This window comes from Homo sapiens, chromosome 4 (genome assembly GCF_000001405.40).
Source record: "Homo sapiens chromosome 4, GRCh38.p14 Primary Assembly".
NCBI lineage: Eukaryota > Metazoa > Chordata > Mammalia > Primates > Hominidae > Homo > Homo sapiens.
The window spans coordinates 5,817,907-5,836,232 of record NC_000004.12 but is presented as its reverse complement, the minus strand read 5'-3'; the positions used below and the strand labels follow the sequence as shown (position 1 = coordinate 5,836,232).

The 18,326-nt window shown below is 47.4% G+C and overlaps 2 protein-coding genes across 47 annotated transcripts in view; one reads left to right on the top strand and one right to left on the bottom strand.

The window, feature by feature from the left end:
• CRMP1 (collapsin response mediator protein 1) overlaps positions 1-15,469 on the top strand; it is a 72,323-nt gene extending 56,854 nt beyond the window's left edge. For all 6 annotated transcript variants that reach the window (NM_001014809.3, NM_001288661.2, XM_047449629.1 and 3 more), the window contains 4 exons: positions 148-318; positions 7,565-7,744; positions 10,574-10,739; positions 14,382-15,469. In NM_001014809.3, coding sequence (NP_001014809.1) covers positions 148-318; positions 7,565-7,744; positions 10,574-10,739; positions 14,382-14,473 — 609 coding nt within the window. In that variant the 3' untranslated portion in view covers positions 14,474-15,469. The remainder of the gene's footprint in view (positions 1-147; positions 319-7,564; positions 7,745-10,573; positions 10,740-14,381) is intronic.
• The window catches only part of EVC (EvC ciliary complex subunit 1), a 117,857-nt gene continuing 106,706 nt past the window's right edge, over positions 7,176-18,326 (bottom strand). For 4 of the 41 annotated variants that reach the window (XM_047449769.1, XM_047449800.1, XM_047449808.1 and 1 more), the window contains 3 exons: positions 12,413-18,022; positions 8,017-8,851; positions 7,176-7,714 (listed from right to left, as the gene is read on the bottom strand). The gene's annotated coding sequence lies outside the window, so the exon portion shown is untranslated. Of the gene's footprint in view, positions 7,715-8,016; positions 18,023-18,326 lie in introns of all 41 variants that reach the window. The other 37 variants (XM_047449775.1, XM_047449801.1, XM_047449787.1 and 34 more) reach the window with 32 other exon arrangements.

Genomic DNA, 18,326 nt, shown 5'->3' with positions numbered 1-18,326 from the left:
TCTTGATGATGGCACGTTTTTAGCTGGGAGAGGAGAGAATTCCAAGCCTTGCAAGGCCTCAGCTGGCAGTCTTCCATTTGTGCCCAGCTGCCCCTCCTCCTGGCCCCATTATGAGATGCTCTTCTCATCTGTGGGTCTTGCCTGTAGGCTACTGGCAAAATGGATGAGAACCAGTTTGTCGCTGTCACCAGCACCAATGCAGCCAAGATCTTTAACCTGTACCCAAGGAAAGGGCGGATTGCCGTGGGCTCGGATGCCGACGTGGTCATCTGGGACCCCGACAAGTTGAAGACCATAACAGCCAAAAGTCACAAGTCGGTAAGTCCTGGCCTATTTGTGCTGCTGAGATAAGTGATTCTTCGTTGTAATCATTTTTAAAGACTGGTTAAAAATGATTTATGAATTTTCCAACTAGGATGTGATCTGATATCTAGCCTGACTCAGTCATTCCCATTTCTCCTCCAGTTGGAGAGATTGGGAGGAGGGATCTGAGCAGGCTCAACTAAGCTGCTTCTCCTTCTCTTTCTCTCTCTCTCTTCCTCTCCTCTCTCTCTGTCTCTTTGCTCCTGCCCATGGATGCATGTGTTCCCAGCCATCTGACACTGCTTATAATGTGTAAGCTTCAGGGCTCAGCGAGGGAAAGTATTAGATCTAAGGTTCTCAATTTAATTATCAAGCTGGAAAGGATTTGATTTGGTATGTCGGAAACCTCCCACTCGGTTTTGTGGCTGGCTGCTAATAGACAGGAAAGGGTTGGCCCTAAAGTGCACACTTTTTCACATTCCATGCCCATAGTTATGGGCCTTCTCTGCTTTGTATCTTATATGCCTTTGATTTCTCCACTCATCCAGCAACCTACCAAAGATGCGTGCACAGAGAGGGTGCATGCAGAGATGGCAGAAGACAACTGTGCCTCCCTGAAGGGCTTGCTTTAACACCCTCCTGCATGGCCAAGAGTGGCCTTGGGTCTGGATTAACAACTACACGCACAGACCCAAGAGGCCACAGTGGTCCCTGGTTCACTGGAGTCTGTGCAAGCACACAGGCCAGAAGTAGTGCATGTGCACACCGTGATGGAGCTGCAGTGGGTGTTCCCATGGCCCCATGGGCTATGGGCTCACATACTGCAGAAGGAGTATGGGCTCACATACTGGAGAAGGAGTATGGGCTCACATACTGGAGAAGGAGACCACAGGTGTGGGGACAGGACATGAGGCACAAGGAAGTTTCATAAGAAAGCCACAGGAAACACTTGTAGCAGCTCACGGCCATGGCCCTGGAGTATCCATTGGCTGCCACAGACATGGCCTGCAGAAGCAGAGGTCTCGGTAGCTGCTCACTGACCTTGTCCGGCTCACCAATCCAGGTCATTCTTATAATACACAATGCTCCCTGGTAACACTACTTGCTTCCCACAGCCCCCATCTCCAGGGAACGGGGTGCCTGAGATCATCTTCCCATGGAGAAAGGTTTATGCCACGCACATGTACAGTCCAGCAGGGCTTGCAATTCTATTATTTATTATGAATTATTTCACGTGTGTACACACTGCTTGGGGTCTGTGCACATAGGAGAGGCAATGGGAGAGCGTCTGAGAGGGTCTTGCCAGTGAGAGGGTGTCTTGGTCCATTTTGTGCTACTGTAATAGATACCACAGACTGGGTAATTTATAAGAAAATAAATTTATGTGGCTCACGGTTCTGGAGGCTGGGAATTTCAGTATTAAAATGCCGGCATCTGGCAAAGGCCTTCTTGCTGAGTTATCCCATGGCAGAGGGCAGAAGGATAAGACAGGACAAGTGTGAAAGAAGTATCAAGAGGACGCTGAATTTGCTTTTATAACAAGCCCAGTCTCACAATAACTAACTCATTCCTGTGATAATAGCATTAACCATTAATGAGGGCAGAGCCTTCATGACCTAATCAGCTCTTAATGGTCTCACATCTTAATACCATTGCAATGGCAAGTCAATGTCCAGTTGAATTTTGAGGGGATATTCCAACCATAGCACAGGGTGTGCACTCCTACCGCCATCTGGCTGTGGGAGCTGCCCCTTGCTTCACAAGGTGATCCTTATCTAGAAAGGAACGTGAATGTCTGTGTCAGCCAGTCAAAGGTCGGCGGACAAGGACCCAGAAGGAAGTAGACTGAGCTGGGATTGTCTTACTATTCCTTTTGTTGTTGTTGAGATGGAGTCTTGCTCTGTTGCCCAGGCTGGAGTGCAGTGGCGCAATCTCGGCTCACTGCAAGCTCCGCCTCCCGGGTTCACGCCATTCTCCTGCCTCAGCCTCCCGAGTAGCTGGGACTACAGGTGCCTGCCACCACGCCCGGCTAATTTTGTTTTGTATTTTTAGTAGAGACAGGTTTCACCATGTTAGCCAGGATGGTCTCGATCTCCTGACCTCGTGATCCGCCCGTGTGGGCCTCCCAAAGTGCTGGGATTACAGGTGTGAGCCACCGCACCCAGCCTCTTACTATTTCAGTGTGGGATCAGAGGCCACACCAGATTCCATGCTCAGGAGTGGGCACTCTGATTATCATCACAATCCAGCCAAATACTGTTTTGTAGTTACTTCGTGCTTAGCATTCTCCATGCATCATCTCATTTAATCCTCACGATCTTCTAAGTTAGGTATATTGTTATTGATAAATGAGAAAATGGAGAGAGAGAGAGGACACATGTGTAAGTTTCCTCTGGACGCTGTTATAAAGTGCCACAGGTTGGGTGGTTTAAACAAAAGAAATTTCATCTCTTAAAAGTTCTGGGGCCGGGCGCGGTGGCTCACGCCTGTAATCCCAGCACTTTGGGAGGCCGAGGCGGGCGGATCACGAGGTCAGGAGATCGAGACCATCCCGGCTAAAACGGTGAAACCCTGTCTCTACTAAAAATACAAAAAATTAGCCGGGCGTAGTGGCGGGCGCCTGTAGTCCCAGCTACTCGGGAGGCTGAGGCAGGAGAATGGCGTGAACCCGGGAGGCGGAGCTTGCGGTGAGCCGAGATCCCACCACTGCACTCCAGCCTGGGCGACAGAGCGAGACTCCGTCTCAAAAAAAAAAAAAAAAAAAAAAAAAGTTCTGGAAGGTAGAAGTTGAAACCAAGGTGTTGGCCAGGCCATGCTCTCTCTGAAGGCTCTGGGGGCAGACCCCTTCCAGGCCACTCTTCTAGCGTCTGACGTCCCCAGCAGTACTTGCTTCCATGGCGGGTAAGGCATCCCTTACATCATCTGCCTCTGTCATTGCGTGGCCCTCTCTGCTGTGTCTTCTCCTTTTATGGATGCCAGTCATTGGATTTTGCGCCTACCACACCCCAATGTGACCTCATCTTACCTAATTATACCTGCAAAATCTCTGTTTCCAAATAAGGTCACATTCTGAGGTAATGGGGGTTAGGATTTCAACACGTCTTTTTTGGGAGCACGATTCAACCCATAACAATATGTAATATACCCAAGGTTACCCATCTGGGAGGTAACTGTCTTCAGGGTAAACTTGGGGAAGCATCCCCTCTCTGTGTGAGGCAAGATTTGAATTCTTTTCATAGCAGCAAGAGGACAGTTGAGGATTCCGTGAGGTGGTTTGACCAAAGGATTTTGTCTGTTTCATTTTCTCTGTCCAAAGCAATGCCATCCACATAATTGCAATTTTTTCAGAACATGGATTGAGAAATGCTTAGAGGTTCGTTTTGTTTTTATATGTTTTAAAAAAATGTTACTTTTAACAATGAAAAGAGATCATTCCTTATATATTGACCAGTGATTAGATTTTAAATCTACTTTTCTATAAAACACAACTTTTATTCTTTCCTATCTTTGTGGAAAACATTCACATCAAAGTGCCACATCATGGGTATGCATACATGTTTGTATATCATAGACTATCTGGATGTTTTTAAGTTTCTTATCGAGATATAATTCATATACCATAAGTGTTGCCATTTTGAAGTGTACAATTCAGTGGCTTTTAGTATATTGAGAAGGTTGTACAATCATAATTCCAGAATGTTTTCATCACCTCCAGAAAAGAAACCCTGTACCCATGAACAATCAGTCCCTCTCTCTCACCCCCATTCCCTAGCAACCACTAATCTGCTTTCTGTTTCTATGGATTTGCCTATTCTGGACATTTCATATAAATGGAATCATCCAATATGTGGCCTTTTATGTCTGGCTTCTACTTAGCATCATATTTTTGAGGATCATCCGTGCTATATCATGGATGGGTACCATGTTCCTTTGATGGCTGAATAATACCCCCTTGTAGGGATGGACCACGTTTAGTTTATGCACACATGAGCTTGAGTGGCTGCTCTTTAAAGGGTATAAAAGAAACCAGTTCTCCCTGGAGGGGACCAGGGAAATGGGGCTCATGGATGGCAAGAGGTTTTTTCATCATGGTGTTTTGTGTTGTTTAAATTTTTACATTGTTTGTATGTTACCTTTAAGAAATGAAGGAATTGATGTTTACAATTCAGTGTTCTTGTGAAATGCAGGGTGTGGCATTTGTGATATGACCAGGGCCTCCTCACACCTCTGCAGCTTGAGATTCTCACCAAAGCACAGCACGTTCCTCACCCAGGAGTAGGGACAGCAGCCCAGGTCCCCAAGGGCTGGCCAGTTTCAGCTGGGAGATGGGTGACTGGTTCCTTGCACCGCCCCTCCGCATTCACAATCCATGTGTCCCTCGGCACAGTTATGAATCACTCCATAGTGGAGCCACTTTAGGGTGAGGGAGAATTAGGTTAGCAAATGCTAACACTGGAAACGCACTGTCTGCCTGGGTCCTGCGAGGCTGGCACAGTGTCAACAGCTGTGTGTAGGAGACGTGATTGCCTGGAACCCCCAAGAATGCACCTAAAAATCATCAAACACCATCAGATTACAAACCAATATAAAGAATTGATAGTTTTTCTATGGAAGAATCAAAAATCACTTTGGAAAATAGAATGGAAATCAAAATCCTGTAATAGCAATAAAAACTAAAGACTTGGCCTGGCGTGGTGGTTCATGCCTGTAAACCCAGCACTTTGGGAGGCTCAGGTAGGGGGACTTGAGGCTAGGAGTTTGAAACCAAACTGGGTGACATAGTGAGACCCTGCCTCTACAAAAAAATAAAAAAATTAACTAGGCATGGTGGTGCATGCCTGTAGTCCTAGCTACTTGAGAGGCTGAGGCAGGAGGATTGCTTGAGCCCAGGACTTGGAGGCTATAGTGAGCCATGATCGTGCCACTGCACTGCAGACTGAGACCCTGTCTCAAAACAACCAAACAAACAAACAAAAATAAAAAACTAAAGACTTACATAAATTCAGGGACTTTTACACTGAGAAGATCCAATATAGTGAACATATCAATTCTTTCTAATCTAATCTATAAACTTGATGTGATCCCATCAGAAAATTTAATTGTTTAGCTAGGAAAGCAGAGTTCCCAGATGAGAAATGTGAGAGTAGCTGAAATAGTTCTGAAAAAAGGGAAGACTGGGCCCGGGGGTATCAGTCATCCCAGTTATTAAAACGTGTCATAAAGCTGCAATAAACCAAACAGTTTGGCAGGGGTACAAGAAAAGAGAGCCAAGGAATAGACTGACTGCATATGAGAATTTGGTTTACAATAAAGGAGACAATTAGAATTAGGAAACGATAGTTACTCATCCAATTGTGTTAGAACACCTGGCCCAAGAGGCTTAACCTCTGCCCTACTATTTACTATCAAACAAATCAAACCATGGTTCAAAGATTAAGATAAAATAAAGCTATGAAAGGACTAGAATACAACACACATTTTTTGAAAGAATGATAATTTTGAAGGGGAAAGGATCTTGCTAAGCAAGACACAAAACTTAGAAATGGTAAAGAATGGTCTGTTTGACCACTGACTACACAAAAATTATACAAAATAATCTGTGTGGCAAAAACAATTACTTCATTTGAGTTCCAGAGACAGAGGACCAGGGAGGGAGGACATATTTGCAACACACATAACAAAGGATAAATTCTTTAACATTGAGTGTGTACTTTTAGAAATCAGTAAGAAGAATGCCAAGACCCTGAGAAATAGAATAATGTGCAAAACACAGTGACACCGTAAGAAATAAATATAGAAATGGCATGTGTTGATTTAAAAAGAGACCCAGTCTCAGTCACAGATGCAAATAACCACCTAGAGATAGTATTTTTCACCTGTGCCAGCAACTGAGATCAGGAGTTTAATATACATAGATACTGTTTACCAAAGGCTGTCAGGTAAGCTCACGGAGTTTTGTTGGGAATGGAAACTAGTGTTGTCTTTTTTGGAGGGCAAATCTGTCAAAGATGAAAATCCATTTACTCTTTGGCCCCCAACTCCACATCTAGAAACATGTTCACGTGTGCAGACTGTGGATGCAAAGTCTGTTTCAGCAGTTTTTAGCAAAGGCATGGTAATGACCCAACTGTTTATTCTTGGGAACTGGGCATATAAATGGTAGTACATCCTCCTGATGAAATGTAGCAGTGTAAAAGTATTTTGTATGTGTGCTGATATGGAACAATTGCTGAGGTAAAGAAAAATTAAGCTGAGAAATGTCTGTGTAGAGATGTGTATATGTCAGACAGTTATTCATGCCTCGGACATACTTAGAGATACAGAAGAAACTCTTCAGGGCATATGTCTCAGACTCAAGTAGAACACAGACTTACCTTTCTATCCAATATCTTTTTTACCAGTTGATTGTTTTCAACCATGTATGTGACCTACTTTTAAAATAATAAAAAGCAGTTGGCTGGTGACAGTTGACACACAACTGTCAAGTATTCACTTGAAGAATAATGGAAAGAAGGTGAGTTTTTTGTTTTGTTTTTTTCTGGAGACAGAGTCTCGCTCTGTCCCCCAGGCTGGAGTGCAGTGGCACGATCTCGGCTCACTGCAACCTCCACCTCCCAGATTCAAGCAGTTCTCATACCTCAGCCTCCCGAGTAGTTGGGGGTACAGGCATGAGCCACCGTGCCCGGCCGAATGTGTGTTTTAAAGGAAATGTTATTTTGTCTTTCAAATTAGCAGAGAAAGAAAAAAATGGCATTACCCAATGCTGGAGGGGGTAAGTGCCGATATCGTGTCAATTGATCTGAACCCTTGGGAAAATAATTTGGCCATATGGCACACGTGCTTTAAAACAGCTCTATTCTTTCACCCAGTAATTTGATTTTAGAAACCTAGAGAAAAAAATTTTATTTAAAGACACATTTTAAGTAAAATGAAGAACATTTTACTTATTTTTATGTCCAGTACAGTCAAAGCAGCCACATTGCATAACCCCGGGGGACCCCCTTCCTCTTTGTGATGCCCCAGAACAATATTGATTTGATTATAGAAAGCCACCGGCAGCCTACATGCGCAACGGTGAGTTGTTGGTTATATACACTGTGGACCATACAGTGGAATATTACAGTCAATAAAAGGTATTTTTAGAGAGAAAAAAAAACATTGGAACACGCTTATGATATAATGTTAGGCAAAATCGCTGTTATGAACAGCTCGTTTGGGGCAGAGCAAATCCTGGGAAGTAACACTGAGGCTGTTGGTGCAGGCGGTGGAGTACAACATCTTCGAGGGTATGGAGTGCCACGGCTCCCCACTAGTGGTCATCAGCCAGGGCAAGATCGTCTTTGAAGACGGAAACATCAACGTCAACAAGGGCATGGGCCGCTTCATTCCGCGGAAGGCGTTCCCGGAGCACCTGTACCAGCGCGTCAAAATCAGGAATAAGGTGAGTGTGTCTGCAGGGGAGCGGGCCCACCCGTGGGACCAGAGCCGACAGCGTCTCTTGGGGAATCGAGATCTGACGTGTGCAGAGTTAATAATGTCATCGCCCTGGGAACCTCCGTTTCCTTATCTGTTAAATGGGTTGAGACGCTGGCCTGGGCTCCTGTCTGAGGACAGGAGTGAGCATCAAATGAGGACATGCAAGTTCCAGGGCTTTGCAAACTGTAGAGGGGTGTGCACCCGTGAGGGTGGGTGGATCATGGGAGGGACGCTTACCAAGCTGCTCTGGGCGCTGTCCTGCGTCATCTTAAGTAATCCTGCCCACCCACGGGAGGTGCTGTGATCCTCCTTTTGCAGCCCAGAGCAGTGAAGGGCTTAGCCAGAGTCACGGCTCAGAAACCCTCGGGTCTGGCCCTGTGGAGCAAGGTGTTACCCCTGGCATCTTGCAGGCAGGGCTTCCTTCAGATCCGCCCTTTCTTCCTTTCCTTCCTCCCTTGACGTTTCTGCCCTGTCGTTCCTTATTTTCCTTGAACAACCTTAGCACTGACCTCAGGACATCTGTCAAAGGGAAGGAGCAGGCTCTATTCCTAACTTTAGAGCAACTCAGAGGAGGGAACTTTCTCACAGCTGAGAGAGACTCCCGCCCGTGGCCAACATCTTCCCCAGCCAGGCCCTCCCATCCCCATGGCAGCTGCTTTCCCCATGAGACAGCTGATGTTTGCCAGAAAGGCCAGCTTCGTGTGTGTGTGTGTGTGTGTGCACGCGCACATGTGTGTATGTCTATGCGTGTCATGTGTGCATGTGTACATGCATGCACGTGTGTATGTGTGCATATGGGGATGTGTGTGCGTGTGTTGGAGTGTGTGTGTGTGCGCGTGTGTGTATGCGAGCATGTGGTGAGCTCTGTGTGTGTGGCCATGTGTGTACCTGTGTGGTCCTGTTCTTTGTATGCTTCCTAAGTGACCAATTGAGATGGAGAAGTCCAGAGACCTTCCTGCATTCCCAGGCTCCAGCCCGGACTGGGAGGCTCTGCATCTGGTTTTGGTCTCTCCCCAGCTTCCATAAGGTGTAGCACCAGGTCAAAGACACCAAGTCGCACAGATGCTTTGCACTGGATGGGGAAACAAGGGATGGGGTGGAAACAAGTCAGATCCGAGACAAGGCCAGGCACAGGCAGCAGGCCATATGAGGACAAGGGGACTCATGGAAATCCCTGGCTGGGACACCCACTGAAGAGGCAGACACACCCCTTGGCTGGCTTCATTTCCTTCTTGGTCTGAAGCTGAGGCCTGCGGTTAACAGTCAGCTTCCGTGAGGGCAGATATCTGACCCCAAATGCCAAGACAGCAATTTGCAGGAGCAATAGGATCGGGGGGTCCCATTGCACAGGGATTCCTTCATGCCTGCAGGAGCTAGACCAGGTGAAGGAGAGACCTGCATCAGAGCCTGCCTCTGGCCACCTGAGCTTCAGGGAGTGATGAACGGCCTCACCCAGGAAGCAATGCCACAGCCACAGAGAATGCACAGGATACAGTGAGGCCCAGGGAGTCGGGGAGCAGGGCTCCAGGGACAGAGGGGAGGGCCGTTGACATGATGTGCAGGTGCTGGGTCTTTAAACTTGGTGCTAAAATTAAGGCTTCCTCCTATGGAGAGACAGGAGCCCAGAGCTGGGGGTCAGGGTGCTATCACCTGCAGAGAAGGAGGGAGCCAGGCCTGGGGTCAGGGCACTGTCACCTGATATGGAGGATGAAGCCCCGTGTTGGGTTAGGGCACTGCCACTGACTCATGCTGGGACCCTGTACAGGTCCCTGAACACATGCTGTTCTCCAGTGCCTGGAGCAGGTGCCCTCCCAACCTTGGCCATCCCTGAGGTCACCTGGGCTGCTGTCAGCAGTTCCCAGCAGGCTGACAGCCTCCTGCCTGGAAGCCCTGCTGCTTTCAGGGTCTCTGCCCCCACAACCCTTTCCCAGTGGGGCTAGGGCTGTGGCTCCATTGCCCTCCTTCCTCGTCCTCCTGCAGGCTGGTGTGGAGGTGTCCTCCCCACAGCATCCCCAGCCCTGCCCCCCATAGACCTGGCCCACTCCTTGTCCCTCTGTACTGAGTTTTCTCCCTCCCTGTCTCAGCTCCCCACTCCTTCCCCCTTTCTGGAACCATCTCCCAACAAACTATCTGCCCCCCGAATCTTTGCCTCGCTGTTGACTTCTACAAGAACATACATGAAGATGGGCCCGTTGCTGCTGCCTTGTCTGGGACTCAGGGGTCCTTTCCGGGGGTGGGTAGGTGGTAGTGTCAGGCAAAGTGACTTCTCTTTGGAAGGGATTTGGGGTCCTCCTGCATGAAGCTTTGTGTGTATGAGTATGCGTGTGTGTAAGTGTATATATGGGTGTGTATACCTGTATGAGTGTGTGTGTGGGCATGTATGCATGTGTATACATATGTGAGTATGCCTTTGTGAAGATCTGTATGTGATTTAAGTGTGTGTGCGTGTTCACGCGTGTATGCTACTGTGTAGGCCTGTTTTGTTACTGCATGTGCATGCATATATGTGTGCATGACTGCATGTATGTGAGTGCGTGTGCGTGGTGTGTGCGTCTGTATGTGTATGCATGTGGGTATGTAGATGTGTGTGTATGCATGCTTGTGTGTATGAATGCCTGTGTGCGGCTGCATGTGTGTGAAGTGCACCTGTCGTGTGTGCGTGTTGTGTGTGTGTGTGCATGCACATTTGAAGTGACCTCAGGTTTCTCTCTCGCCCGCAGGGCTCTGCTTTATCTGCCCAGAAGGGCACACATGCACAGTGTCGATCAATCACACTCTCCCTTCCTCTGTTTAGGTTTTTGGATTGCAAGGGGTTTCCAGGGGCATGTATGACGGTCCTGTGTACGAGGTACCAGCTACACCCAAATATGCAACTCCCGCTCCTTCAGCCAAATCTTCGCCTTCTAAACACCAGCCCCCACCCATCAGAAACCTCCACCAGTCCAACTTCAGCTTATCAGGTAGGAAAGAGTGGTGGCCCAGGCTCCCCACAATTGCAGCAGTTCAGGCCGAGTCCTTCCTGCTGCTTCTGAGGAAATGGACACGTGGCCTTGGACACTAGATGAAGAAGCAGGGAAGGGAGTGTGCCCCACCCGAGCCTGCTCTCACTGGTGGGGCAGAGTGGGCTGGCATGGTCACCAAGCAGAGGGGGGTCCATGTTAGGGGGGCAACATGGTGGTACCTGATGTGGGTTTACAAAGAGAGGTACCAAAATTGTCCCAGTGCTCATCCTTACACACATTTGGGGACACTTTCACACTCTTCCTCATGAAAGTAAACATGGAGTGGTGGGGATGAACAAGAGATGGGAGTAGCTGCCATTTGCAGGGCATGTGCTCTGTGTAAGTCTTTAGCCTGTTCACCCACTGCAGTGTACTAAGCACTTTCATAACCCATGATTTTATTTTATCCTCACTACTCCATAAAGTAACATTATACCCTATTTATTTAAAGAGGAAACGGAAGCCCCAAGAAATCCAGTGTCAAAATACCAGGACTTGGTGCTCAACAAATGTGTGGGAACAAAATTAGATGTTGACCTGATCCCTCCTGACTTTCTTAAGGTCTCAGGGCAGTGTATCTGTGATTTGGTGAGATGGCCACATGAGGGCAGGCACGCACACGTTGAGAAAGTTGAACTGGAATTTTGTCCTGCAAACTCTTTGAGGCGTTGCATGGGTTGCACACCGTGCTGGGTACTAAGAGTATGGTGATTTTTTTTCTTAGAAGGCCGGATAGTAAATACTTTAGGCTTTGTAAGCTAAGAGGCAACATCTAGGATGTCAACATCTAGGATGTTATATTCAATAGCCATTTGAAAATGTACAAACTATTCTCAGGTCATGGATCGTACAGAAACAGGCGGTGGGCCGGATTTGGTCAATGGACCCGTTTGCTAATTCCTGGTCAGGAAAGGCGATATGCTTAGCAAAAGAGAGAGTGGAAGGGGCAAAGAGAGAGAGAGAGAGAGGATGACGTGTGAATTCAGATTGTGTGGTGGCAGAACCTCTTATCCATTCAGGAAGTGTCTGATTCAGTGATTATGCCGAGGAGGCATGAATCAAGGAGGCCTCCCCATTCATCTCACTCTCCATAAGACTTTGATGGAAGAGCTTCCAGTGTTTCATATTTTTGCACAAAATGGACCCTAAATAGAATGCTAAAAGTCATGTGATGCTCAATCAGCAAACCAGGGATTGGCTTCATCCTGGGAAAAAGCTATCTGGGTGCAACAAGACACAAGCTCTCAAGGAGTTTGCAAACTGGACCACTGTTCTGGAGTTATGCAATTAAACACTGCACAATTGCAATTAAACATGGACAGAAAATCCTCCTCCCCGTTGTTCTTAGAACAAGAATAACAATGAAGTTAAAAGCCACCTGGAAGGGCCCCTCCTCACCCTTGTTCTCTCAGTTTCACTCTTAGTCCTCCTGAGGCCCACAGCACCACTGCTGTCAGCCAGCCTCTTGGCAGGTTGATAGGTGACTTCATTTGGTACCAACAACACAGATGCTTTCCAACATCATAACAACCTCACAGATGCCCTTTTTAATATCTGCGTATGTTACGTTATAGAGCTGTACCATGAGTTAGTGTCTGTTTTCGTCCATTTACATTGCTATAAAGGATTACCTGAGGCTGGGTAATTAAAGAGGTTTACTTGGCTCACGGCTCTGCAGGCTGTACAAGCAGCACGGTGCCAGCGTCTGCTTCTGGTGAGGGCCTCAGGCTACTTCCAGCATGGCAGAAGGCGAAGGAGAGCTAGCGTGTGCAGAGATCACATGGCAACAGAGGAAGAAGGCAGAGGTGCTCTTTAACAACCAGTTCTTCCGAGAGCTAATAGAGCAAGAATTTACTCATTACTGTAAGGCTGACACCAAGCCATTCATGAGTGGTCTGTCCTTCATGACCCAAACCCCTCCCATTAGGCCCCACCTCCAACTTTGGGATCAAATTTCAACACGAAGTTTTGGGGGACAAAAGTCCAAACCATATTAGTGTCCTTTTTTCCAGCAGGTATTTTCAAAGTACAGACATGCAACCAGCAAGGTACAGATGGTTGTAAGGAAAAAGTTACTAAGTGCTAGGCCTGATTCCAGGCCTTTAGGGGAGACTTGTATTGCAAGAAGACATATTGTCTACCAGTGAAACAATGGGAGAAAAGAAAAGTCACTACTGTGAACCAAATTCTTAGTGGCTTACATAGACAAATCATGTAATGTTGGAGTTGGAAGGGGCTCATCTAGTCTACTGTTCTTATTGTGCAGAAAAGGAAATGAGGCCAAGGGAGTGGGGTGGTGTCTTACTCCAAATTGCCCAAATTCAAGGCATGATTAGCACTGAAACTTGAGTCTCCTTCCTGTTGCAGGTGACAACTACCTGGGGCCAGTGTTCTGCAGCTAGTAAAAAAAATTCACCAAGACAGTTGTCGGTAAAGAAAGTCAGATGTATTAGAAAAAGTATGAAAGGGTACAGTGGGTAGGTCAGCAAGAAAGGAGCCGACTGCAAGGAAACAAAGGCTTGCTGGAGATTTTATAGGATGGTGCTTGTGCTGTGTGCCGAAGAGGGCTTTGTGCAGTACTGATAATGCTGTGGTTGCAGTGAGCTAACTTACTTACGTTTTTCTGTTAGCTGAGGATCTGGTGATAAGTTGAGTACAGGAAGGCTGTGTTGTAGACCATGAAGAAAGGCAGACTTACAGCTTATTTGCTTTCTCTTTTTGATTTTCCTCAGTTCCGCCGGCTCAACTTCCCCTCCCTGATAAGGACTCTATCCTTCCCACCTTTCAGCATTATCCACCCTTCATGATTTACTCATTTAATAAATATTTGTTGAGCTCCAGGCACTGGGTTTGCTGCTAGAATTTTACATCTTTATGCAAGAGAATAGGTAAAAGTAGAATGGATGGTTGGTTTTGAAAGATTAAAATTAAGAACCTCTGCACACCACCCCCCCCCCCTTCAGATCCACCTATCGCCAATGAGGGAAGTAAATCCAGCTTGCGGAGTTCACATGCACATGCACACACATATGCACATGCATATACAAATGTGTACACACACAATATGTAAAATACCTTTGGAGTGTGGGACAGTGTGCCTAAGATCATGGGCTTTGAAAACCAACCAGTTTGGGCTTCAATCCTGGCTTCCCCACCCAACACCTGTGTCCCGCAAGACACGTGGCCTGAACCTCAAATTGCTCACCCGTAAGTTGGGAGTACAAACACCCCCTTCATAGTATGATTGTGTGCCCTAAATGCAGTAACATGTTAAAGCACCAAATGTGCGCCTGCACACAGTAGGCACTCAGTAAGTGTTTGATCACCTGTCTCAGGAATGTCGGATTTTACTGGGGATTTTGACAAGAACACCACAAGGTGGTCAGGGCTGAAGGTGGGGGGAGCCCAGGGACTGAGGGGCACAGAAGAGGGAGCAGTGGACTCTGTGGAGGCCAGGGAGGCTTCCCATGGCTGGTCCTGGACTGAGCCCTGAATGAAGGTGGGTCCAGTGGAGTGCATGGCAGAGTACATGGCCTCCAGGAGCAGCGTGGAACTGATGCTAACAGATCCCATCCAGCAGCGATTGGCGCTCTCTTTCAGGTGCCCAGATAGATGACAACAATCCCAGGCGCACCGGCCACCGCATCGTGGCGCCCCCTGGTGGCCGCTCCAACATCACCAGCCTCGGTTGAACGTGGATGCGCGGAGGAGCTAGCCTGAAGGATTCTGGGAATCATGTCCATCCCTTTTCCTGTCAGTGTTTTTGAAACCCACAGTTTTAGTTGGTGCTGATGGAGGGAGGGGGAAGTCGAAGGATGCTCTTTCCCTTTTCTGTTTAGGAAGAAGTGGTACTAGTGTGGTGTGTTTGCTTGGAAATTCCTTGCCCCACAGTTGTGTTCATGCTGAATCCACCTCGGAGCATGGTGTTTTCATTCCCCCTTCCTAGTGAACCACAGGTTTTAGCATTGTCTTGTTCTGTCCCTTCCACTTCTAACTCCACTGGCTCCATGATTCTCTGAGTGGTGGTTCCTTTGCACCCTGTAGATGTTCTAGGATAGTTGATGCATGTTACTAAATTACGTATGCAAGTCTGTGAGTGCGTCTGAGGGGACATCGCCAAGGACTGACTGAGACACGATGCCGAGACCTCAAGCCCTGAGGGGCAGTCCCAAAACCCTTACAGTGAAGATGTTTACTCATTGCCCCCACCTCTGGTCCACACTAGAAAGAAGCTCGCCCCACCTCCACCTGTGAGATCCGTGAATTCTCGGAATGGCAGGGGAAGCCTTGCACTAGGTTGCAGAGAAGCATCCTCCACATCCTGTGTCAGAAACCCTGGTCTCCGTGGCACTTGTAACTCACCGTGCTGTCTTCTGGTCTGTGTGTGTTCTTCAAGCCAGCTCTAGGCTTCAGGCCGAGCCAGGTTCACACTCAGAAAGAGGTCTCCCCATCCCCATTCGGGGCTGACGATGGGGGGCTGATGGCTGCCCCTGCGTGGCCTGAGTCCTGGTCCCTCTGAGGCAGTTGACGGGGCAGTCAGATTTTTAAAGTTTTGTACAAAGTTTTCCTTTGTAATCACTCCCATTTTTACTTAACAACCAACTTGTTGTGGCTCTTATTTCTGAATTCAAAGCTTGTGAAAAAATAAAGAAAATGAACTGCCCACTGACCTGACTAGGGCACTTTCATTTCAGTGGTGGTGTCTGGATTGGGTACGAATGCTTGGCAGTCCCCCCGCGTGATAACGAATGGTGGTGGCTGCTTCCTGAGGACTCACTCTTGGTAGAGACTGGTGGATGTGGGGGTGGGAGGAGAGATTCAGTTCATGACTTCTGAAGGCTGAGTTCCTGAGACCCAAGGAGGCGAAGAGAGGGAAGACGGCTGATGGGCGGGCTTCCACAAAATAGGCTCAAATCTTGCATTGATTCCCTCCTGTTGGGCCTTTCCTGGCTCTCTTTCTTCTTGTATTGTATGGATCAGCCTCAGACTGGAAGCTCCAATCTCCTAAACTTCACATTTCTTCCTTCCATTTCCATGAGCTAGAGATACACTAAAGGACGGATAAAAACAGCAGGCAAAGTTGCTTGCTTCCATTAGCTGTTGTTAGTAATAGTGATGACAATGATGGTGGTGACAGTAATGATGGTGGTGATGGTGATGATGGTGACGATAGTGGTGATGATGATGGTGGTGTTGGTGATAGTGATGAAGTTGCTGGTAATGACAACAAATACATGGGCTGATAGCTGTATAGCAGTTGCTATATGCCAGGTGCTCTATGAGGTAGGGATTATTATCCCCATTGTACAGATGAGGAAACTGACTCAGAGTGAGATCAATAACTTGTTTAGGATCACACACTTAGGAAGTGATGGAACCAGGATTTGAATCCAGGACCCAGGCACTTTGGGCCCTAGTCCAAAGCTCCTTGCTCCTAATTACTGAGCTCCAAGGGCATTTGAGGCAGATGGCTTTGGATGCTCTGGTCCCACATCAACGCAGGGCTTTTCATGTACCCTTCTCCTCCCCCGCTCCTCGGCTTCGTGTGGATACCTTTGTCAAGGTTGAAAGAAGTGTTGGCTCAGGGTCAGTTATAGACTTCCTTGAAACAAGGTTAACTAACTACTGAGAAAGACCAAGAATGGATGGTAAGGATTTTTGGATGGAAAGACCAAGAACGGATGGTAAGGATTTTTGATGTTCGGCTTTGGCCCATTTGGACTATTAAAGGGAAACTTCCAGAAAAGTAAAGTTGGCAGGATGAAGTTATCCAGCCTGTTCTCTGGGCCTGGCCTCCTCAGTCCTGTCAGGGTGGAAGTGGAAGCAGAAGCAGCCCTAGCACCTTCTCTAAGACAGACTCTGACGGGGTGCTTGCCTGACTCCCAGGTCATGGGAGCCACTGTCCAACCAGCATAATCTAGAGCCCATGTCGAACTTTGGGTTCCCCAGCGCCTCCAAGAGGCACAGTTACAGGGGACAGGAGACCTGGTAGCTCAGATAATCCTTAGTTCTTGGAGACTGAGCTGCAACACTCCTTTTAAGGCATGTGACTTCCTTTTACCTCTTGAGATTTTGGGAGGAGGGAGAGAGAGTTTCTCAGAAAGTTTTAGGGGAAGGCTATTCTCATTCATTCATCTGCAACCCAATTCTCCCAGCCATGTGACATAACATACTCACAGGCCCAGGGATTAGGATGTGGTCATCTTGTTGGCAGGGACGGGGAGCGTTATTCTGCCTACCACAGTAGTCTTCTGGGTTTTTTCTAGAAGTTTTATCTTTCACATTTAGGTCTCTGAGCCATCTCTCAATAATCTTTATGTACAATATAAGGTAGGACTGAAGGTTCTCCATTTCCCATATGATCTCCCATTGACCCAACACCATTTATTGCAAAGACTATTCTTTCCCCCATTAAGATGCAGTGGGGCCTTTGTTGTAAGTCAGGTGATTGACCCTTCTGATTCAGTGGTCCAGAAGTGTGCTGCCAAATCAATGTTGAACAATGGGTGAAGGTGGGTGGGGTAGAAAGCCCTTGTTTGTAGTGTTTGCTAGTTCTGTGGACCCCACTTCTGTTACCGATTTTCTGTCTTAGTCCATTTGGCATCACTGTAACTGAATACCTGAGATGGGGTAATTTATAAAGAAAAGGAATTCATTTCTTACAGACTTTGAGACTGAGAAGTCCAAGGTTGGGGTGGTGCTGGTGCATTTGGTGAGAGCCTTCTTGCTGGTGGGGACTCTGCAGAGTCCTAAGGCAGTGCAGGGCATCACATGGTGAGGGGGCTGAGTGTATTGGCTCAGGTCTCGCTTCCTCTGCTTATAAAGCTGCTGGTCCCGCTCCCATGATAACCCATTAATCCACTGACTCACTGATACATTAATCTATGAATGAATTAATCCATTCATGAAGGGAGAGCCCTCATGACCCAATCACCTCTAACAGGCCCCACCTTTCAGTACTGCCACATTGGGTATTAAGTTTCAACATAAGTCTCTTGCCATGGCCAATTTCAACCTATCGACATTAAGTAAATGAGTTTGGAATCCAGACCACTTAACTGTTGGCTCTGATGTCCCAGGAAGGGGTGGTTCTGGCCCCTCTGCATTTGTTGGTGTATTAGTCTGTTCTCACTCTGCTGATAAAGACATACCCAAGACTGGGTAATTTATAAAGAAAAAGAGGTTTAATGGACTCACAGTTCCACGTGGCTAGAACTTCACAATCATGGCAGAAGGCACGTCTTCATGATGGCAGGCAAGAGAGAGAATGAGAACCAAGTGAAAATGGTTTCCCCTTCTAAACCATCAGACCTCTTGAGACTTATTCACTACCACAAGAACAGTATGGGGGGAAACTGCCCCCATGATTCAATTATCTCCCACCAGGTCCCTCCCACATCACGGAATTATGGGAGCTACAATTCAAGATGAGATTTGGGTGGGGACACAGCCAAACCACATCAGTTGGTTTGTCTATCTTTGCCTCCAGATTGCATATTGACTCTTAAAAAGTGAGACAGAATGGGCAAGGTCTTTGCACATACT